This window comes from Homo sapiens, chromosome 9, assembly GCF_000001405.40.
Source record: "Homo sapiens chromosome 9, GRCh38.p14 Primary Assembly".
NCBI classification, from domain to species: domain Eukaryota; kingdom Metazoa; phylum Chordata; class Mammalia; order Primates; family Hominidae; genus Homo; species Homo sapiens.
The window spans coordinates 90,417,731-90,442,675 of NC_000009.12; the positions used below are offsets into that span (position 1 = coordinate 90,417,731).

A 24,945-nucleotide genomic window follows, 5' to 3' on the forward strand; every position below is an offset into this window, starting at 1 on the left:
TTCCCACGCCGCCCCTAATCCCGCTTGAAGCAGCCCTGAGAAACATTGTCCATTCTCTCTCCATACCCCCCAAAAATTTTCGCCGCCCCAACACTTCAACACTATTTTGTTTTATTTTTCTTATTAAGAAGGCAGGAATGTCAGGCCTCTGAGCCCAAGCCAAGCCATCGCATCCCCTGTGACCTGCACGTATATGCCCAGATGGCCTAAAGTAACTAAAGAATCACAAAAGAAGTGAATATGCCCTGCCCCACCTTAACTGATGACATTCCACCACAAAAGAAGTGTAAATGGCCGGTCCTTGCCTTAACTGATGACATTACCTTGTGAAAGTCCTTTTCCTGGCTCATCCTGGCTCAAAAACACCCCCACTGAGCACCTTGCGACCCCCACTCCTGCCCACTGAGCACCTTGGGACCCCCACTCCTGCCCGCCAGAGAACAAACCCCCTTTGACTGTAATTTTCCTTTACCTACCCAAATCCTATAAAACGGCCCCACCCCTATCTCCCTTCGCTGACTCTCTTTTCGGACTCAGCCCGCCTGCACCCAGGTGAAATAGACAGCTTTATTGCTCACACAAAGCCTGTTTGGTGGTCTCTTCACAGGGACGCGCATGAAAATAAATGGTATGGTGCTTTTAATTTTGGTTTCCAATTTTCCACTGCTAGTATATACAGAGATGACTGGTTTTTGTATGTTGACTTTGCATCTTTCAACTGAGTTTTTTTAAGACTCTGGAATTTTCCATCCAAGAGGCTAAATCAGGGAAGGCATTGATCCTCCCCTTGTTCTCTTTGTCTCCCATAGAACAGCTTGTGGGTAGAGGGTCAGGTGAACCAGCCCAGACGTGAAGGTCTAGGGGGTCATCTCACTTTGGAGGGAGCCCCACACGAAAGGCTTCTGCAGTTTTGTGGGCCCTGGGGGCTGAGAGCAGGGCTTGGGGGAAGCCTAGGAGTAGAAGAGCACTGAGTTCTGAGTTGGAGTAGGGCAAGTGTCTTTCAGGTCACCCCTCCCCTCAGAAGAAGGTCTTGTTCAAAATGCCTGAGGATGCCTCTGCAGCTGGCCTCCATATATGGCCACTTGGGCTGGAAATATAGCTATGAATGACAGCATGGCTGGGCAGGAGGCCTGAGTCCTTGACTGCAGCTCCCTGCAGAGCCTGCCATGCCCTGGCAGGCCCCCCAGTCTGATGTGGGCAGGGCAGGGCCCCCAAGTCTGCTGTGCAGTGCCTCTGTGATTGCCCACGTGGGACCCGAGAGATGACACAGAGGGTTCTGGCCTCACCTCTTCCACTCGACTCCTGGATTTTTTAGGACTGAAGTGAGAAACATGGGCTATTTTATCATGGACTGGAATAGGTTAGACTTTGAGGGGCTCTGTCAAGGACTGGGTAATTAATTAGAGCCAACAGGGGACCAAAGACCCAGACTGGGATCACAGTCACTCTACGTAGGATGATGAGGCCCACCTGGAGGACTGGGTCTCAGTATGAGCTCTGTGTCTCAATACAGTGTCTGCCAAACCAGGAAAGATGTCTCCTGGACTATCTGGCTCTGCTTTAGAGAGTTAAGAGCTTAAAAAAAAAAAGTTTTTATATGAACCTTTTTAGCTGGCCTGAGGCAAGTGAGCTCTGACCAGTAAGATGAAGCTGTCATGTATGTCTCCCAGGGCTGAAGCGTTGTCATGAAAATCAGATTCATACAGGAGAAGTGTAATCCCAGAGGGCACACATGGTTCCTCTGCTTGGAAATAAAGAGTCTGTAATGTCATGGCACCCCAAGTAGGACATTTATTAATGAAGTAGTTAACAGGGTTTTGAATGGAGTCTTTTATCACGGGGCCCCTTATCCTGGGCTTTTTAGTTTCATCTGAATAATTTAGTCCCTGGCTTTAGAGGAACTGCCTGAGGCAGTAGGTTTCACAGTTTTGTTTGTCTGTGACATCAGTTTATCAGCCTTGGGAGTGTAGATGTCATTTGGAGATGTTTTGCATGGCAGCTGAGACTGTCTCTCAGGGTCAGGGTTGCAGGCGTGGGTATAGGCTCAGCAGTCTGTCTGAACCCACAGCACTCACCGCTGCTGGGAGAGGCAGTGTGGCAAGGTTTTTGGTTTTTGTTTGTTTTGGAGGCATGGGAATGAGGAGAAAGCTTTACAGGGCATGTAGTTTGACAAAACAAAGATTATTAACGTCTTTTTCTCTCCCCCGTACCTTTCTAGGAGTTGGGGTTTTGTGTTTCGTTTGGTGTTGGTTGTTGCTGTCATTAGTGTGTCTTCTTTAACAAAAACTTCGTATTCTTTAAAATTATTTTTTAATTTTTATTTAGATTTTTTTGTTTGGGAGAATTGTCACAGAGACAAAGTATTTTCACAGGAAAATATTTCTATATAACTTAAGCAGGAAAACACACCATGTTTAAGAATTGGCTAGCACAGAGGTTTCACTTTTTAAAAAATTTTTAAATGAGTTTCCATAACTTCTCACTCTCTGTTGTTTAAAAAACATTTTTAAAAAATTTATATAAAGTCTTTAGAAATGGGTCAAAGGGGATAGAAGGCCCCTGCTGGGTCTTCCACGGAAACCACAGGGCCAGTGACTGTAGGAGGGCACACAGGTAAAGGATGGGCAGCCAGGCCCATCCAACTATGTGCCACAGCTGAGAAGTGCCCTCTTGGGGCACTGCTCACCTGAGATGTGTACTGCAGGTTGGGGTTAGTCTCCTCTTAGCAGCCACTTAAGCCTGTTTGTAAATCGTTTATTAAAATATTTCATCATCTCTGCAACTTGGGAGTGATGTAGAGATAAGACAGTCCACTCCATGCCCCATGATTGGCTATCATCAGATGCAATGTGTTGAGGAAACCTGATCAGGAAACAAACGTGATCTTGTAGGGCCTGAATAGTGTGGCCCAGGCCAGTGAAACGTTTGGAGATGGTGAGGCTGAACTTGGAGAAAGTGTCAACCACAGTCAGCATCCAGAGGAGCCCCAAAGGTGGGAAGAAGGGCCCAGTGGGATCCACCTGCCAAGAATGCCTGGGCCGTGTTTGTAGCCTAGGCCAGAGTCTGGCAAGGAGTATGGCTTTTCTATGCTGATCCAGCAGCTTCTGAGGACAGTGGCCATTGTGGCTGGATGCCGAGTCTACCAAGTGTCTGGATATGCCTGGGCCACCTTCCTGTGGATCCAGGAGGCGAACAGTCACACATCTGCTCGCTCTGGGGCAGACACTTCAGTCTCCTCATTTCCTTGGCAAGCAGTCTGCTCATTGCTTATGTTTTCTCTTGTTGGCTCAGCAGCCTTTTTAGAGACTATTTACATTGGCAACAAAACGTTTATTAGGAGTGGAGCTAATTTTTATATAAATGTCTCATCCCCACAGGGTGGCTTGTTTGACGTCAGTCTGGGGCTGAGCCACAGCCCATGAGTCCACGAAACCACAACAGGGCTCCTTTGTGGGTGGCCTGTATAGCCATCAGAACCCCACAAAGCTCTGCCATGGAGCTGAATATCCCTTACCATGCTCTGTAAGAGACAGGCTTCTTTTAGGCCAGATGACAGGCACACCCTGTTCCAGCCCAGCAAAGGTTACCTGGGAGGAGCCATCAGTGAAGCAGGCCCACGTGTGGTAAGAGAGGTCTCTATATCTGAGCCAGTGGAGACAGCATCTCCTTAGGTGATGTGCAGCGGAGGTGAAGGGACACTCCTGAGATCTTTCCATGAAGTTGCAGTATCCCAGCTAGCCTAAGTCATGCCTGCTCTTGTGGGTATCATTTTTGTTTTACTATAGAAAATATCTGAGTTGTTCCCACTTAGTATTTTGAGACTTTTTTTAGACTCACAATATAATAGGGATTTGGAATTTTAAGATTATTTTACAACCATGGATTACGTGTTCAATATTTACAAAAGCCCAAGAACAGGACAGTAATTTTCTCTGAAAGGGTGTATAATTTTTAGCCAATGCTGGGAGCTTATGGGTCTCAAAGTGCAGCAGGGTCCTCTGGCCAGTGGTCGTGCATTTTGCCATAGGGTCTAATTGGCAAATGGGGAGTTGGGAAGGATGTTACCAAGACCTGTAACTCAAGTGGTAAAGTGGGGCTCACGGGGAAGGTGGCCTTGGTGGCCAGTTGAAGGGTCTCTAGGAAACTGGGTTGGTGGGGGCTCCACTCAAAGGTAGACGGGTCCCATCAAGAGCTCTGCATGGGTGTGCAAGAGTGCCAATGCCAGATGGTCTCAGTAATCACTGGGCTTTGTTTCTATTTGTCAAGGCAGAGAGGGCCAAATGCTTGGCAGTCATCTCTTCTGGAACGAGGCACTGTGTTCCTTAATCATTTTTCCTTGCAGGAATTTTACTTGGGTATTAGGTTCTTGCTTTTTGTCTGTGTTAATGGATCAGCATGTAAACTCCTATCTCCTAGTGGCACTCTTCTGTCTAGTACTCAGGAAAAATTTTTCTTTCTGGACCTGCATTTTCAGAAAACAGAGTGAAAAATAAGTGTCAAGGGAATGACAAGGTGTATCAGCCATCTCAATGAAATGCTGTTATGTCTGATCATTTCCTGGTCCACTGTGCTGTGCATGATGTCCGAGGCACATCTAGGCATACCTTTTGTCCTCAGCATTTCAAACTCTTAGTAGTTCACCCTTTATGAGCAAATAGCAGGTCCACTGACCACCAAGGAAGCACTGTGGGGTGTTCAGATCTGTACCCGCCATTATTTCTGGTGTATTGCAATGCATCTGGTAGGAGGAAATACCGTAAATTTGGTCCAAATTGCACATAGTTGGCAGGCACTCTTCATTATTCATATTTGGGGTCGTGTTGTGCCTGTTTCCTGCTTTTTGAACTATGTCTCCTCTGCTTTTATACTTTCTGTTTGTTATTTGTTGCTTTCCAGACGTAGGGTAGATGAATCTTTTCTACTCCTCCATCTTAAATAAACCTTCAAAACATCACATATTTTAAACTTGGAAATATAATAATTACCTCAAAAGAAATGTTCAGACATTTCTTTTTAAAAGATACACCAAAATATTTTGGTTTATCTTTTTTGAACATTTCTCTGATAAAGATGCAAATGAAATTATTTTTGCAAAGAAAATTGCTTAATTTACTCTTTGTAGAGATCTATGAATTTAAAATTCATAAATTACAAAATTCATAGATTTCATAGATTCATTTATAGAATTTCATTCATAGATTCATATGAATGCATAGATTCATTCATAGAATTCATAGATTAATTATGAAATTTATATTATAAAATTCATAGATTCATTATGATTTCACAGAGAATCATAATTGTGGTAAAGATTTATCAAGTAATTATGGGTAAGTCTAGTATTGTTTATTTAATGCAATGCTTGAGTTACCAGAATAAGTATTAATTTTCAATTCAAACATTTTTCATGTAGCTTGTTTTCCAAAGTGAAATATGAGTGGTGCTACTTTAAATGAATAGGGACAGAAATACTAAGTTTTAGATGCAGGATTACTTGATGTCCATTACTTTATAAACGACAACAGCCCTAGAAAGTACTCTTGTCCACATGGTACACACAAGGAAATTGAGAGTCAAAGCGCTTAAGACACTTGGCCAATCTCACATGAACAGTAGACAGACAAATTGAAAGAAACCATCATCCCTGCTCGGAGTCCTTATAATAGCCTCCTAACTGGTCTCCCCTCTCCACTCTGTCTCACCTCTGCCACTTTGTTCTCCATCCAGCACTGAGCTTGCTATTAAAAACTTGTCATGTTGTGCTGAGAGAGTTGACTGTTGGGAGACAATTCCACGGATCACTTTTGTTTCTGCAAAGATTGGGCCTTCTGAGCAAAGACATGTTTAAATAGTAGACAGCTTTGGAAGCTAGAGGTGGTGTATCCCTGTACAGAAATTTTAAGAACCTACCACCACAGAGACATCCACGGTAGTAAAGATAAAGCTCTCTTCTTTTCCTCCCGGAGATACCCGCTTACATTCCAGGGTAGTAAGTCATCTCTCTTCAGAGAGGAGGAAAGGCAAAAAAGCAAACATAGCAGCGCTATAAAAGCTCACAGTCACCTAACTGTGTGGTTCCTCTGCCATGATGCCCCGTTAGATCCCACCACCCATACAAGTTATGTGAGGTCCTCACTACACTCCTTGCAGAGCTTGGGGCATAGGAAACGGCAAGATGTTTCTGCAGCTGCTGACTTTGCTGTGAGTAATTAACGGTGCACGTCTTTGGTCAGCATACATGTAAAACATCGTGGCAGGTGAGTAGGGTCAAAGTTCAGATCCTTCACAGTTCCTGACTCAACACTCTCTTCTCTGCTTAAGCCTCCCACGGCCTTCCTACCCCATTCAAAGTAAATATGGAAGCCTTATGGCTCCCCCTTCCCCCTTCACTGCACACTCACACACATTAGCTCTTTTACTTTCTCTTCTACGTGCTTGCTTTGCTCCAGCAACACTAGTTTCTTTGCTAACCCTTAAACCTAACAGGCAGCCGCTTGCCTTGAGAGTGCATTTGCTGTTCCCTCTGCCTGAGCTTCTCCCCCGTGTATGTGCAGGGCTCCCTTTCGCCATTCCGACCTTTGTCTGAGCATCATGTTCACAACAAGTCTCTTCTGTGGCCAACTTTCACAACTGCAGCCACTCTCTCAATGCCCTTAGACTCCCACTGCTTTACTTTTACTCAACTTCACTTATTACATCTTTTACCTATTATCTCATTTTTGTCCACTTCCCCTATCAGAATGACAACTCCATAAAGACAAGACTTTTGTCTCATTATTTATTGCTGTGTGCATCATCTAAAATAATAACTGGCTCATAGCAGGGACTCAAGAAATATTTGTCAAATGAATGAATACATGTATAACTCTGAATCTACATTGTTTTCACTTCTACACTATCTCTAATTCTTTATTAATATCCTTTAATGGAAGAAAACTAACAATGTTTGGAGTGACAGCTACTTTAGATTTACCATTGAGAAAAGAAAATCATGAGTTGAAAAATGAAATAATACTAGCAAATATAATGAAGAAGAACTAAAAATAAAGTGCAATCCTTGAAAAATTGCTAATTTCAGAAACAACTCAAAACCCATCCACAAGCACACTTGTTCTGGGCAGATAAGATGCTTTTAACCATCTTCATCTAGGAATTCCATCTTCTTGGGATCAACACACCTTTTTTTGCTAGACTATCAGGCAGCAATATTGAGTTCCAACATATGATTCTTAGTACTTCACTCCAAGCCAAGCTAATCAAGTAGCCTCAGTAGATGGCTGAAAAATTTGCTTTATTCACATTTTCTGGGCTGTGTCCAGAAACCCTTTTGTGTGTGCCCTTTCTTTTACAGGTGTGTTGTGAATTATCTGGAAATGATTCAGTTTTCAGAAGGAGCAACTGGCTAGGGTTCAAACTCTAGAGGTATGAACCAGTCAACATCTAGTAGTTTTCTGGTAGGTTCTGTGGTTTTTCTTAAAAAGATTAGGATGAGGAAACTTCAAAGAGAATTGATACTTCTTTGTAAGTTCTTGAGCAAGTCCTTAACCAATCTGGGCCCCAGCTTTCTCACACAAAAAACAGAGAGGGTAATATCTGGCTCAGAGGAGAGTCAAGAAAATTAAAGGAAATAAAGTATGGAAGTTGCATTTTGTTATACAGATTCAAAGATTCAATATGACAGAAATGGAGAGAGAAGAGATATATGTATATAAAATACAGAAGTCATTTTCTCATCCACAATGAGATACATTTCCCCAAGTCCCAGCTAAATCCTGGAAGTTTTATATAATCAGTGCGACAGGAGGTGATCTGTGGTAAAATTAGACACATCCCAGGAAGTGCTCCTAATCACAATTGAAGAAATAATAGGAACTACTCACGTGACTATCACTCTGCAGTCAGGCAGCACCTATTTGACTTGTGAAAATCTTGATCCACTGAATCTTAAATATAAATTCAAGTTGCTGAGGCTTTCCTTACAGGTGTTTGAAAGACCTAGATCCTGCTTTTTGGGGCAGTGGAGTCACACGAGCATTGCATGTATATATGTGTGAGTGTGTGTGTGTTCTCAACTCTCTGCCTCTCCATTTTCCCTCTATACTTAAACAAATACGGAGAAGAGAGCAATGTCATCATATGAATTAGTAGAGAACTCAGTCTTTTCTACAGATGAAACCATTTATTACATTTATTCTCTAACAAATAGATATATCAAACTGGAAAATCAATGTGAAATAAAAATGTAAAAGAAATGGTCTTTTCCAAGTCATTAACACAAAATATATTTTCCAAATATAGCAGCTGCAGCAAGGACAGCTCTCTACCCAATACCAGCTCTCATGAGCCCAGATATTGATCTCTAATCCTCTCCTCCCCTGGAAGAGATCAGGACTTCCTGATGGGTATTTATCTCATAATTCATAATTACATAATTCATGTAAAAATTTAAGATGTTTCCAGAAAATCTGGAGCTTCCACCCTTTAAGACTATTACTGGAAGAGCTGAAAGTAGACAGCCAAATTTGGACAATTTGAGGAAACATCAAAATAATAATAGTTAATGGCATATTAACTTATATTAATTAAATTGATGAGGCATGATCTCATAATGACAAAAGAGAACTATTGATTTAAAAACGTAAAGAGATACCTGACATGGTGGCTCACACCTGTAATCTCAGGACTTTGAGGTCAGGAATTCGAGACCAGCCTGGCCAACATGGTGAAACCCTGTCTGTACTAAAATACAAAAAAAAAAAAAAAATTAGCTGGTCATGGTAGCGGGTGCCTGTAATCCCAGCTACTCAGGAGTCTGAGGCAGGAGAATCACTTGAACCTGGGAGGCAGAGGTTGCAGTGGGCTATCGTACCACTGCACTCCAGCTTGGGTGACAGAGTAAGACTCTATCTTAAAAAAAAAAAGAAAAGAAAAGAAAAGAAAAAGGAAATAGATAATTATAATAAAAAAGATGAGTATGATAGACATTTTTAATTCATTATTGATTTTAGTAAGTTATAGAGTTATTTGTGCATGTGCGTTTTTGGTTGCATCTAGTTAGTATATGTCTGTGTGTAAGGAATTTATTTGTACTAGTTTCTATGTGAGCAAGAATAAGCAATGACTGAGAACTGTCAATTAACCAGGTAGCCCTGGGAAACAAACACCCAGCCAGAACATTTAGATCAGAGCAAAGAGTGGTACCAGTAAGGGTGCTTCACAAGAACCCATCTCAGTGGTCTCGTCCAGTAACCAAATGGGTTTCACCAGTAAATTCCAAAGGTAGAATTAACTACAACCCTCTAAGTCAGTGCCATCCAAAGAAAGACACTCTAAGCCACCTGTGCAATTTAAAACTTTCTAATGACCCAATTTTTAAAAAATAAAGTAAAATTAATCAAGTAAAATTAATTTTTACAAGCTATTTCATTTGTCCCAATATATTCAATGTAATAGCATTTTCAATTGTGGCACTAGACACATTTTCAAAAGCTCAGTTGTCATATGTGGCTGTTCTGCAAAGAACTATTTAATCAGACTCACTCTTACTCTCCCAAGAGATGATAAATCTTTATAGCTGCGCTAATTAAGAAAACACTGATGTTTAGTAGTTACATGAACCAGGGTGATCTGTTTCGATGGTAGGCTCTGTGTGGGGCATGGTAAGGCATGAGAACATAGAGATCACTTGTCTCCACAGATTAAAAAGCAGAAGACACGCAGGACCAAGAGAGCCTGATGGTGTAAGAAGTGAAACCATGTCATAAACATGGCTACTCCACTGGCCCGAGAGGCCCAGCCTCGCCATGGACTGCACACCTGCTAGGGGAAATGCTCTGAGATAGTCCTGCTTTTTTTTTCAGGGAGTGGGAATAGTAGTCATAAGAATATTGAAAACCTAGAAAGGCTTGAGAAAAAGCCCACAGGAAGGAGCATTAGCAATAACAGTAAAGAAGAGACAGAAGAAAAATGTTTTAAAAAATTAAATGCACTCTTATAAACATACAGTGGTAAGAATTCTTCTCTACCTATTGTGTCCAGAATTGGTTCCTTCCGGTGGATTCGTGGTCTTGCTGACTTCAAGAATGGAGCTGCGGACTTTTGCCGTGAGTGTTTCAGCTCTTAAAGATGGGCCGGACACAAACAGTGAGCAGCAGCAAGATTTATTGCGAAGAATGAAAGACCAAAACTTCCACAATGTGGAAGGAGACCTGGGTTGCCTGTGCCGGCTGGGGGGTGGCCAGCTTTTATTCCCTTATTTGTCCCCGCCCATGTCCTGCTGATTGGTCCATTTTACAGAGTGCCCATTGGTCTATTTTACAGAGCACTGATTGGTCCATTTTACAGAGTGCTGATAGGTCCATTTTACAGAGCACTGATTGATCCATTTTACAAACCTTGAGCTAGCTACAGAGCGCTGAATGGTGCATTTTTACAGAGCGCTGATTGGTGCATTTTACAAACCTCTTGCTAGCTACAGATCGCTGATCGGTGCGTTTTACAATCCTCTTGTGAGACAGGAAAGTTCTCCAAGTCCCCACTCGACCCAGGAAGTCCAGCTGGCTTCACCTCTCACTACTAACACACCTCTCACATTAAAAATGTATCAGACTTGGGTATGTGCTGACCTCCTCAAGGTCTACTCCCTCCCAAAAGAGGGGGAGGGTGTTATTCTTCCCATTAAGTAATTAAATTACTTGAATAATTTAGCACATGATCTACTAGTAACTAATCTGTGGTATTTGCATTTAGACTATAGACAGGCTTTTCCCAAAGACTTGAAAAGAAGGGACATCAGATGAGCCTCTTAAAGTCCCTAAAGATCAGGCAAGGTGAAGAAAGAACCTCGAGAGCGCCTTGAAGACAGACAGACCGGCAGGCTGAGCTGCTAACTGGTCGCCCACACCAGATTACCGTAAGAGTATGTGTGTCAGTCAAGTGTCTGGCCAGGTTTGGAAGCCAGGAAAAAGTGAGAGACAGCAGCAAACAGCTCCATCACTTGGTTAGACCCCACTCCCCGAGCAGCAGTGGCAAGGAAAGCCAGCCTGGAATGCAGTGGCTGCAGCTGTCCCCTCGGCCTGAGGCCCTTGGACACTGGGCCTGTGCAACTAACTACTCCCACTCTGAGCCCATGTTCCGCGGGCAGCCCCCGACATCTGTGCAGATGGAGGACTGGGGTCACCCTGCAGCTATACCAGCCAGCCTGCTGAGAAGATTCTGCATCTCCTAAGATGTCGCTTGCTATTCTGACATCATATCTTGGTCTCTTTTGTTTAATTATGACAAAGCATTCTCTGCAAAATGCCGCTGTTCTCATCATCCTGGTCCAAGCCAAGTTCTGAATCTGAGAGCGGGACACCAGCCCGAAGCCAAAGGTGAGCTCTTCACATGGGAAAACCAGCCTGGGTTCCTGGATTCTTCTCAGAAGAGAACTAAGACTATTAGAAAATAGAATTCTGCAATACTTTGTTTTCACAGGTGTAGAAAAATTATATTCGATTTTTACCCTTGGCCTGTTTTATTATAATGACCTCTCTTTTTCCTGCCTTTCAATCCAGCTGAGACAATGTATGCATGTTTACATCATGTGTGTATATACATCTACTTGCACATAGATGTATATAGTTATATATGTTTAATGTATATATGAATAAAATGTGCATACAGCAGACTTAGGGACTTCTCTGGAGGGAGGAATAAAGGTTGTAAAGTAGAAGAATATCTACCAATCCAGTTGCATATGGATTTCTTTGAATCACTGACCATTTCAGTCAAACTCTCCACATTTTGCAGGGAAGTCTTTCACCTGCGCAGTCCCTAATGCCTGTTTCATACCTGGGAGAGTTTTTGTTATACCATTTGAAGACAGTTGGATTACAGATCCAACTCCAATCTCCTGTCCTGTCACAGTGTCCCTGTGTGATGCTCTTTTTTGACCCACACACTGTATAGGTCCTAGACTTCCCATATGGTATCAGTGGACAATTAAGGAGACTTCACCACTAGCTACTTCTGTCTGCTCAATATGCTCTTTCTGAATAACGGTGAAAAAAATCTATTCACAGTTCAGCCAAACATGCTTTCTTTATGTTACGCAGCATATGGGGCAATTTGTCAAGGTAATAGTAAGTCTCTTGGAAGGCTAGAAGGCTGCAATTCATTATCTGAAAAACAAAACCTCAACCATGCTTTATGCCAGTGGAGATGAAATCCTCTCAATATCAGAAACCAACGATTGCTAAGGAAACAGGGGAAGAAAGGGTCTCCCTCTATTCCAATAAGGAAGCCATTGCCTGACCAGATCCCCTTTTCCCTATTTTCATCTCATAATTGGAAATGAATATGTCAGAGAATATATGCCACCTCACCCAGATGGAATGTCTAGGCTAAATTTCCATGCAAAGACTTTTGTGCTTTTATTTTCCAAAATTCCTTTACAGAATCTTGGTTCCACGAAAATACAAGATTTTAAAAGCCAATAATAGCTTTTTAAGGAAGAGAGATAAAAAAGGTAGGAATCTAAACCAGCATAACTCAAAAGTCCTCGTTCCCCTTATAAGTTTTCCATTGCCTGAATTTTCAAGCAGCAGATGACTATAAATCCTGTAAGGAATAAATTGTTGCATATGTTGATCTATTTACTTAAAAGTTGGGCAAACAGTAGCTAGACAGGCAATGTAGTTAAGTGCATAGACTCTGGGATTAGACTGCCTGGAGTCCAGTCTCATTAGGCAGTCACTTGCTGTTTGACCTTGGGTAAATCACACCTTCTGTGCTCCAGCTTCCGTATAAAAATTGTAAAAAGCAATTAAAATGGTATCTGTCTCAACAATTGTAGTGAGAATCTAATACATTTATACATGTGTCCATTTATAATAGGATGGTTTTAGAGTAAAAAAGCTTTAGAATCATGGACAAGTAAAGAGATGGACTAGTAGTTTGAGGCCCCAACCAAGTCTAGAAACGTAAATTTTTAGTAGAGTTGTAGAATTTTCTCTCGGGATTAACTGCCATGAAGCAACAGATGATAGCGCTGGTATGAAATCAGGATTCGTAGAATTGAGCACAGTACAGAAATAAGGTGCTGAGGGAGTTAAGGATTCTGGGAACAGTCAGGTCCAGTGTTAAACTAATGGGATCAGGGCAGGAAGGAAATGTGGCTGCCCAGGGCCTTCTGAACAAAAGGACAGGGAGAATAAGTGAGCTTAAGGTTGGAAAACTGAGGGTTTGTATTCTAGGAGAGGCACTGGAGTTTAATAGTTCAGGAAATGGAATGGTTTGATGAGATGCTCCAGAATTCTTAGGGAGTAGTTGGCAACTCCAAAGTAAAGGTGAAGATTTGTGCTTTAAATCAATAGACTGTAATTCAGAAAAAGACAGAATTCAAGGTCCCAAACAGTATTTTTTAAGTAAACAGATCTAATTTGTTTGTTTGCTTCATTTTTTGAGGTAGAAAAGTATAGAAGATTCAAGTAATCTTCCTTTTGATCTAAGAATAGTGGTAATATAATTATGTGATAAATAAAAGAAGGAAATCAAAATACTCCAGTTTTATAACATAAATATAACTACAGCATGCATTTTCAATAGAGGCAATATCACTCCTTAGGAGGTAAAAATTCCGGAAGCAAAAAAATTATTAGATATGATATTTATTTGTGGCTCTCCAAAGCTCAACCTTACCCAACAAAACCTTATTTTCTCTGGCAGGGTGTGGTGGCTCACACCTGTAATCCCAGCACTTTGGGAGGCCGAGGCAGGTGGATCACTTGAGATCAGGAGTTGGAGACCAGCCTGACCAACTTAGTGAAACCCCGTCTCTACTAAAAATACAAAAATTAGCTGGGCGTGGTTGTGGGCACCTGTAATCCCAGCTACTCAGGAGACTAAGGCAGGAGAACCAACCTTATTCTCTAGTATTTAATTTCTCCTATTGAGTTTTCTTAGATATCACAAAAGCAGCATGGACACTGAGTTCCTGGCAGAGACCCAAAACGTATCCAAGGTCATGTTACAAAAATGTGGCAAATGGCCATGAGTAGGGGGCTTCTTCTCCATCCCTTGCTCCATTTCAAAGTCACATGGGGAGAGCTGGCCTGTGCTGTTGGCTGCCCTGGTCACCTTGTAAGCATTGCTTCTCACATGATCTCAGTGATTTTATGTGTGACTTAGGCTTTGGGAATTAAATGTAATTGTTTGTATTTTATCATTTAATTATAAAAATGTTATTCAACTCATTGTTGACTATGTCAAGTGCTAAAAAAAAAGCAGTGATGAATTATAGTTAAAAAGTATCTTTTCTTATCAAGCAAAAGTTAACTTCACTAAATTTTTGAAGAAATTAATTTTTCAATTATTCACCTTTGATGGGAAAAAGCAGTTATGAATGATGTTTAAAATGTATATTACATTGCTATTATTATATATTTATAAACAATGTGATCCATTGCAGTTTGTATAAAGCAATAAATTACATTAATAGTTATTAGGCTAAAAAGAGAAAGTTAAATGTTATAGCTTTTAATTTTAAGTTTTAACTTAAGCATTTTATTTAGTCATTCTTAACCTGGCAATGAATAAAATTAGTAAGGTTTGTACTTAGTCTTTTTCTTTTCGTATGAAGCACAGACATGTACACTACATAAGCAGATATACAGTGTACTCATGGTATTAAAGTTTCTCATAGGTGATGATTAGACAAAAATCTGATGTCTATTTTCTCTTCCCCAAATTAATATAATACTAGTAGTAATGCAATCAGGTCACGTAATACCTGCATTAGGCAAAGATCTGATGCATCAATAACAGCATTTGAGAAATCTTCTCAAAATTAAAAACTAGGTGAACACTCCCCATTCCCCTGAGATGTAATAAATATCGCAGATTGGCTGGGATTCTTTTTGTCCATGACTTTATAATTTTCCTAAATACAAACATACCTATAGCAAATCAAACAACACTATGTATTGTGACAATCTGATATTTTTTAATTATAAAGAGACACTCATCTTTGAGTGAATACACATTGATATTTATTCCCATAATCTGGATTTATTAAAATTAAGCTTCCGAGCTGGGTCCTTGATTTAGGCTTAAATTCCCTGACCCAGTTTTGATGCTAGTGCCAAGTTCCAAATGTATGAAATGGAGTTGTTTCTGCCTTAAGACTGAAAGCAGTTAACAGAAAGCCTCCATTTTAAGTTTTTATCCATAAAGCGGAGAAGCTGAGTGGGTTGATATGGGGGTGGAGAGGGGTTTGCCTTAAACAGATATTCTTCCTCATGAACCAGTTTTCTCTGTGGATATTTAGACTAGCAAAACAGACCACGCTGGTCAGGAGGCGGGCGGAGGTGTACAAGCAGATTAGGAGTAACGTTATCCCTTGACTTAGGCCTGTATGACTGAGACACACATACGCACACACATGCACGGCACTGCATGTGCTCAGAAGGACCTGGTCTCATCCTGAAGGTGGAGTAGGATGACAGAGGCTGTGATTAAATTCAAGCTCTCACAGCAGCAGTCTAAGTCATCCTTTGAGAGGACTGTATTCAGGGTGGAACTCCGAAAAGAAATCCTCCGTCTCTCTTACTGCCAATTCACAAATCATATGCTCTTTAGCAAACAACAACAACAAATATACAAACGAAAAAACCCAGGGGCCGTTCTTCTTCCTCCTGGGACTCAGGTTTGTGCTTGTTACCTGGAGGCCTTTGTGAAGTGACACGTGTAGGTGCACAGTCTCTCCCCACCCGCGTCGTCACAGTCAGTGCCTGAGTTCTCTCTGGCAAGTTCAAGTTCGAGAGAGAGTGTGTTTCCTCAGACTTAGAGCCAGGCCCTCAGGGAGCTGGGAGTGCACTACTGTGCTGGGAGGGGTTTTGAGGAATGCTGACGTTTTCCCCGAGGTCATTTGTCGAGCTTCACTGGCTTTCCCACTTTCTGAAGATTCCTCTTGTTAGTTTCTATTTATATAAGGACTCACCTCCTTTCAACTAAAGCAGGGATCCCCCTCCCCCACCCCGGGCCTGTCTGTGGCCTGTTAGGAACCGGGCCGCACAGCAGGAGGTGAGCAGCCCAGCCTAGCCAGCATTACCGCCCAGCTCCGCCTCCTGTCAGAACAGCAGAGGCATTCCATTCTCATGGCAGCGGAGCCCTACTGTGAACTGCACACGCGGGGGATCTAGGTTGCGTGCTCCTTTTAAGAATCATCTAATGCTTGATGATCTGTGGAACAGTTTCATCCTGAAAACATCCCCCCATCCTCACCTCCACCCAGCTCCATGGGAAATCTCTTCCCTGGAGTTACCAATCAGGAAAGTAGAAATCCAATAGTTTGATTAGACACAACTTTCCATGCAGAACGAATGATATCACACATGCGATGAGGGAGATGGGTAAAATCATTTCAAACGGTCATCCCGGAACTAAAATTCTATTGCACAAGTCATCACTGTGGTTCAGTAATGGACCAAAAGGAGTGTACGCTTATAGCCAATTCTACTTCTGAGCTCAAAAGTAATTTGAAAGGTCAATGAGTTTTTAAAACCAATTTTACACAATTCCTCATTTCCTTAGAATATGAGATTATATTCTTTACACTCTTAAAAATTTACAGCACACTAACAAGCGATCATAGACATACAAGAACATTAAGAAGAATAGGAAAATAAATTGTTATAAACAGGGAAAACAGCAAGTGAAAGAATAAATAAAAAATGATTCATCTTTACCAAACTAGACTTCTAAGCTTAGTTCTAACATCCGATATCTCAAATACTAAAAGCAATTGAATACTTAATGATAATCAGTTCTTTCATTATAGCTGGTTTCAATGTGAAAACAGTTACTAATCAATTTGCCGTATGCATGGTTACTGTGGATATTATTTATTTGCGTATTATTTATTTATTAACATAAAATTTTGGTATTCACAAGAAAATTTCAGAAACTGTCTCTATTCTCTGAAGATGTAAATAAATGAAGATGAAAGAGGAAAAAAACAATTTTGATAATTTCATGCTTCAGCTGAGGACCTGTGTTTGACAGCAAAAGCACCAGGCTTTGTACTTCTCTCTTTTTTCACTGATTCCTGGCATAGCACAGTGCTTCTGACCTGCATAAAACTAAATATTTCTATAAATGCTCTCAGTCTTCTGTTATTTCAAAAAAATTGACAGCAGGAAAGACCATTAAAAGATCAAGGTTTATGTCAAGCAACTAAAAGAAATTAAATTTTGTTCATCTATCAGAGTTTGTCGAGGGAAACATTTCGGGCAGCAGTAGTCTTTCTATGGCAGGACTATTTTTCTATGCTGAAGCCTTATTAGCAAGCATCTTGCTCAGTATATGCCAGGAATTTCTCTCCAGTCACTGAAATAACCAAAAATCTGATGTGCTCCCTGAGCAGCAGAGCATCCCGGAATTGAGAGCTATTGAAAGATAACATACATGAAACTCCTTAAAATGGAAAAATAAAATCTCACTTCTGATGATCTGTTTACTGCCATCTTGATCAAGCAGCACCTGGTGTCCTGCTCTCCGCTACTCCCACACATGAATTTCCCAGTCCTCAAAAAGGGAGCATCTTGCAGAACTCTTTCCCAAGGCTAAGCTTGTGCTTGCCTTCTGGAAATCAAGAAGATATGCTTCGCTTTCACAGAAGAGTTTCTTGGGGTTAATGTGAGTCCACTATTCTCCTCCCTGGAATGTATGAGTTCCCGCAGAGACAGTGGGGCAGAGGAGAATGGTCCTGAGTGTCTCCAAATACTCAACTGCTCTCCTGGGAATGGGAGCACATAGGGCAGCAGTTACTCTTCCTATCTGCAGGCACATAAACTACCTTTTGGCTTTTCCTCAACAGGCTTTCCCATTAACATCCCCCATCTAGAGAAGGGCCACCAGAAAAACAAAAAAACAGAAAATACTATCAGCTATGTTTCATGCAAGGAAAAGATGGAGACAGAAGTTGACTGAGGTCCAATGGCAATACTTTGCATGTTAAAAATTTAATTTATTTGCACTATTTTCTTTCTTATAGGATGAATAATTGCAATTCTAATGTATAACCCAAACATTACTATCCTAAATCTGATTATTTATCTTGTTTTAACAATAGCTATATTTATAATATTTAATGCAGATCTGATCCCTAACTTTTGCATCCAATAGTTAAATTTTTTAAAAAGAAAATTTTATCATTTATTTCATTTTTTAAAGATATTTACTTTCCAATCACTTAAATATTTATCATACATATTTTTATTGTGATAAATATACATAATATAAAATGTAACATTTTAACAAATTTTAAGTGCGCAATTTTATTTTGTTACAATTTAGCTGGAATTTTGAAGTTAGTAGAATAGAAAAATTAGGAGTTAGCTAATTGAAATTATGTTCTCTCACATCAGAAGTTCAAACTTAACCCAAGATTGTCTGCTTGCTAGGAAATCATTGGTAACCTCCTACGGACATTTTAAAATGGGAAGAGCCATACAGTCCAAGCAATAATTTGAATGCAATCATTAGATCCAGCTGCATGATCCTTCAAGACGCCCTTAAAGGAAGTATTTATCTTCTAGGTTAATTGTAATTTTCATAACAACACTATGATAGAAGTATTATTGTTTATGGATCAGAACACCGAATCCTTTAAAATACTTTGGTAACTTGCCCAAATTAAGTGGAGTATTTGAATGCAGTTCATTCTGAATCCAAAGCCTGTGAATTTAACCCCCACACTGTTGTTCCTGTCTCTATCAGACAAGGCTCATTAGCATCTAAATAGGTCTTCATAAGGTACTCAGCATGGGAGAAAGTAGATAAAAATATAACACAGAAGAGGTTATATAAAAAAACCTATAGTCCTGAATTTGAATTGAAAGTACTAGTATAAACTCATGATGTATTTATCTCTAAAAAGCCCTAGCCCTCTTCACAGTAAAGGACTAGAAAACTAGCACCCCGCTTGTGATTTTAAACTAGTATTGCCAACCGAATGGCACCCAGGCTCTTTGGAGACCTGGCTGATTCTAGGTCTACACCAGGATCTCTACAAGTTGAACCTGGAGCATCTTGTCTTATCAGAATGCAAGAAAGTGGTCACAAGCTCATGTCAGGAGGGCTCAGGAGCCACTGGCAGATACTTCCACTGGCCAAAGTGAGCTCATGTGAACTTCAAGGATAAGAATTTCACAGTTAGTGTGTCCATTCCCAGTTTTTTCACTTTGGTGTACTTCTGTACACTCTATGGCTTAGTTGATTTTCAAAATGTCTTTTTTTTGTTCTTGAGCCTTTCAATCTACTCTTACTCTTACAATTTATGTGTTGGAAAATCCAGGTTACTTAACCTGTACTCTCCCACAGTCTGGCTTTGTTAATTCAAACTCAAATTGAGTTCAGCATTTCCTTTGCCCTCTGTATTCCTTGCACATTGGCCTCTAGATCTGGAGGCTCAAATAGACTCGGGATGGACCTCTTTAGGAAGATGATGATCAGAGTATCAGGGTTGGTGGTGTTTCATTTCATCAGGAGCCTTATGAATGACATTATTAGGGCTTGCAGTCCCTCTTCTATACTTTGCTTAATCAATAGCACAGCGGAAAGAGAGGATGAAGGCAGATCCTTTCATTTCCCCATTTTCAACCTAGTGAATTGATTCCTTATCATCTTCAGGAATTCATCGATTTTATTTTGGAATATCATTATGTATTCGTGGATTTAAGTTTTTGACGGTTTAATCTATTGTTGTTATACATAAAGCTGAAACAATTTGTAAATTCCTACTACCATTCCCAATTCAAATTCAGGACTGCAGGACTTTATTTGACCTTTTTAATATTATATTAACATTTCTTTTCTTCCACACTGAAAACCTTGGTGCCCAAAGACACAGGGGACAACAGAATTAGAATATCTCATAATTACCATTTGTAATTCTACATTACACATATAATAAACTCAAAATAACACTGCTAATTCTCCCACTACTGATTATAATCACTGGAAACCATTGGTTTTTAATAGATATCTCCATTTTCCATAGTTTTTAAATGGCTATATTAAATCTGCATTGTCACACCACAGTCTCATTGGACATCTAATCACTCACTTTTAACCTTCATTTAGATGTCCACAAATAATTACACATTCAATGTTTACCACCATTAACACTCTTACACAGGTTTTCTAAAGTTCTTTCTCTAGTAGAATTCTCAGGAAAGGCTCACAGAAATAATATTCCCCAGATTCTTATATGTTGATTATAATGTGTGCCTTTGACACTGGAAGCTCGGTTTTCTCTTTCCCTGACCTTCCTGACTATGTTAGTCTGTCTTATTCTGGCATTCTTTTTCATAAGCCTGATGATAGCCCAATACATTTTCTTCTAAGTCACAGACCCTTTGTGACTAGAAGCTTCTAAATTTTAGTTGTTTTACTAGAATATTTTTATGTTGGTCATTCTGGGTCAATATTTGCAGATATGTAGTATTTCATTATTTAGGTTAAAATCATTTTGTTTTCAATTTTTAGAAAATATCTTAAATTACAGTGTTTACTATTTGCTCTGTTCTTGCTTCTATTTTTTCTTAAAGGATTCTTATTACATCTATGTTACATCTTACTTGCCTACATTCAATTATGTCACCTTCTCAAAAGATTTTTACATCTTTCATCATTTCTTTTCTTTCTTTTTTTATTGGCACTTTGTAGTTCAAACTGAGTCTATTTTATATAACTTTATATTTTGAAATTAAAGAAGATAGTACAGAGACCTCCCCCAAACTAAAATGCAAAATGAAAGAAGAATAAAACAGTAAAATAACAGATATTCAATAGCTGTGGGACATTTTCCAAAGGCATGAGTATAACATATGCCTTCTTAGAATAAAAGAAGTAACAAAGAATGGAGCAGAAAAAATATTTGAATTTATAATGGCCAAGGATTTTTCCAAATTAGTGATGGATGCCTCTTCCTCTTAGCACCATCCTCTCTTTGCAGTGAACACCTCTTGACTCTTTGGTGTTCTCCTGTTTGCAAGTTAATCAGACACTCTATTTCTTCCCCCAGCTTTCCCCTGCACAGACATGAAAAACAGATAAGTCTTGAAGCAGTGGGTGGAAGAGGGTACATGAAAACACATCAAGGATGTTGAGCTTTCTTCATATGCTTGTTGGCTACATAAATGTCTTCTTTTAAGAAGTACCTGTTCATGTCCTTTGCCCACTTTTTAATAGGGTTGTTTGTTTTTTTCTTGTAAATTTGTTTAAGTTCCTTGTAGATTTTGGACATTAGACATTTGTCAGATACATAGTTTGCAAAAATTTTCTCCCATTCTGTAGGTTGTCTGTTCATTCTGATGATGGCTTCTTTGGCTGTGCAGAAGATCTTTAGTTTGATTCAATCCCATTTGTCAATTTTTGCTTTTGTTGCAATTGCTTTTGACATTTTCATCATAAAATCTTTGCCTGTGCCTATGTCCTGAATGGTATTGCTAGATTTTCTTCTAGAGTTTTTATAGTTTTGGGGTTTTACATTGAAGTCTTTAATCCATCTCAAATCAATTTTTGTATGAGATATAAGGAAGGGATCCAGCTTCAATTTTCTGCATTTGGTTAGCCAGTTCTCCCAGCACCATTTATTAAATAAGGAATCCTTTCCCCATTGCTTGCTTTGTTGAAGATCAGATGGTTGTAGGTGTGTGGTCTTCTTTCTGAGTTATCTATTCTGCTCCATTGGTCTATATGTCTGTTTTTGTACCAGTACCATGCTGTTTTGGTTACTGTAGCATTGTAGTATAGTTTAAAGTCAAGTAGTATGATGGCTCTAGCTTTGTTGTTTTTGCTTAGGATTGTCTTGGCTATATGGGCTCTTTTTTGGTTCCATATGAATTTTAAAATAGTTTTTTCTAATTCTGTGAAGAATGTTGATGGTAGTTTAATGGGAATAGCATTGAATATATAAATTACTTTGGGCAGTATGGCCATTTTCATAATATTGATTCTTTCTATCCATAAGCATGGAATGTTTTTCCATTTGTGTTCTCTCTGATTTCCTTGAGCAGTGATTTGTAGTTCTTCTTGAAGAGGTCATTTATTTCCCTTGTTATCTGTATTTCTAGGTATTTTATTCTCTTCGTTGCAATTGTGAATGGGAGTTCATTCATGATTTGACTCTCTGCTTGTCTGTTGTTGGTGTATAGGAATGCTTGTGATTTTGCACATTGATTTTTGTATCCTGAGACTACTGAAGTTGCTTATCAGCTTAAGAAACTTTTGGGCTGAGACTATGGGGTTTTATAGACATAGGTTTATGTCATCTGCAAACAATTTGACTTCCTCTCTTCCTGTTTGAATACACTTTATTTCTTTCTCTTGCCTGATTGCCCTGGCCAGAACTTCCAATACCATGTTGACTAGGAATGGTGAGAGAGGGGCATCCTTGTCTTGTGCCAGTTTTCAGGGGAAATGCTTCCAGCTTTTGCCCATTCAGTATGATGTTGGCTGTGGGTTTGTCATAAAAGGTTCTTATTATTTTGAGGTAAGTTTCATCAATATGTAGTTTATTGAGAGTTTTTAACATAAAGGGTTGTTGAATTTTATTCAACATAGGAAGGCCTTTTCTGCATCTATTGAGATAATCATGTGGTTTTTGTGTTTAGTTCTGTTTATGTGATGAATTATGTTTATTGATTTGTGTATGTTGAACCAGCCTTGAATCCTGGGGATGAAGCCAACTTGATCGTGGTGGATAAGCTTTTTGATGTGCTGCTGAATTCAGTTTGCTGGTATTTTATTGACAATTTTTGCATCAATGTTCATTAGGGATATTGGCCTGACATTTTCTTTTTTGTTATATCTCTACCAGGTTTTGGTATCAGGATGAAGCTGGCCTCATAAAATGAGTTAGGGAAGAATTCCCCCTTTTCAATTGTTTGGAATAGTTTCAGAAAAAAATGGTACCACCTCTTCTTCGTACCGCTGGTAAAATTCAGCTGTAAATCCATCTGGTCTTGGGCTGTTTTGGGTTAGTAGGCTATTTATTATTGCCTTAATTTCAGAACTTGTTATTGGCTTATTCAGGGATTCAACTTCATCCTGGTTCAGTCTTGGGATGGTGGGTGTCAGACTGGGTAATTTATAAAGAACAGAAATATATTTCTCACAATTCTGGAGGCTAGAAGCTCAAGATCAAGGCACCAGCATGTTCGTTGGTCTGCAGAAACTTTGCTCTCTGCTTCCAAGATGGTGTCTAGAATGCTGAGTCCTCTAATGGGGAGGGACACTGTGTCCTTGCATGATAGCAGACAGAAAGGTGAGAAGAGATGGACTCCCTTTAACAAGCCCTAATTCAATTCACATGGAGAAGCCCTCATAGCCAAATCACCTCTTAAAGGTCCCACCTCTTCACATCGCCACATTGGCAACAACTGGATTTTGGAGGGGGCACATTTAAACCATATTATTGACAAACAGTTATAAAAGAGGGGGAAATAACCTTAATAACCTTTAACATGTATCAATTTGTTACCAGGTGCCAGACATACAGCAGTGCACATGCATTATTACATTTAATCCCCATGATTCTGGGGCAGGATCATGTTATGCAGAAAAACAAACTGAGTCTCAAAATTTCAGATTAACTTGCCTAAACTCACAAAAAATCGTATATGATGGAGCTGAGATCCAAGCTCAAGTCTGCATCTTTAAAGTTCTGCTGATATTCTCTTTTACTAGTCTGTAGAAAAAAAAAAGTTAAATGCAATTAGCAAAAGCCAGTAGTGTGCATGTCTCAGGTAATGTTGGCTGTAGCTGATTCTATCATCCACATTGTAAATAGTTACCTGAGGGTTCAGGAATCTGGGTCTTTGTCTAGCCCCTAAATTAGACTATTCTGCAGAGAAGTCATGATTTAAAGGCTTCTTTCAGAGACTTAATCTTACTTTATTTTATTTATTTTTATTTATAGCACCCCTTTGCCCATTTCCAGGATGAGTGTTTTCTCATCTTTCAGAAAACCTGTGGGATCATCTCCTCCCAGTGTGCACTGTCTGGTGGGGGTGTAATTAAGATGCCTTCCTCTCTCTTAGCAAAGGGCTGGGTGAGGCCCTCAGATGCTGAATGGATTGACACAAGGACAAGAGGTAATGCTCATGCAATTGTCAAATGAGCCGTGAGGAGATGGCTAAGTGTTGGCACCTGCCACTTACACCCCTGGCACTGCCCTGTGTTCTGCCAGGGTGGATTTCCAGATTGTGACTCATTCTGTGAGGTATCTCTGATATTTTTGACACATACCTATTTTGTAATAATTAACCAGAGTAGATGACTATAGTCTACAAACAAAGAATTAATCAACAAGACCCCGCACCTGCTTGACTTAACTTTAGTCAGCATCCTCTAAGCACTGCAGGCTTCTACCATGGTGTGCATCTTTGTCAGGACTGAGTCGCTCAGTTACAACAGAAATCTTGCCAAGTCAGTGCGGTGAGAACCCCCCACCCTCCATATCTCATCGGCCTCCTCATCCTCCCCCTCCCCCAGGTGATGTCTGGTGACCCCAGCCTGTCTTCAGCAAGAATCCTGTTAGATCTTTTTAGAGAATAGAATTCTTCCAACCCCAGCTGTTTCCTCTTAGTAATTTTTCATCCTCCGACCCCTCCATCCTGCTTCTCAGCTATAAATTCTCACTTTTCCTTGTATTTGGAATTAAGCCCAGTTTTGCACTGAGGTGTCTTTTCCCTGACTGCAGTAGTTCCTGAATAATTCTTTCTCACCACTTTACTGTCTAGCTCTGGTTTTTCTTTAGCAAAATGTAGTGGCGTGTTGGTTGCTCCAAATGAGGACATAAGGATACTGAGGACTGTTCTCCCTTTTCTTTTATTAGAGTGAAGCTTGGCTTCCCAGCCTCATGTCCAGGGAATATATTTCCCATATCCTTCCTTATGT

General features: G+C 40.1%; 1 long non-coding RNA gene across 1 annotated transcript in view; it reads right to left on the reverse strand.

Annotated features, from left to right (window-relative positions):
* The window catches only part of LINC01508 (long intergenic non-protein coding RNA 1508), a 132,594-nt gene extending 116,835 nt beyond the window's left edge, over positions 1 to 15,759 (reverse strand). The window contains exon 1 of the long non-coding RNA NR_109795.1: positions 15,701 to 15,759. This is a non-coding gene — a long non-coding RNA (long intergenic non-protein coding RNA 1508). The remainder of the gene's footprint in view (positions 1 to 15,700) is intronic.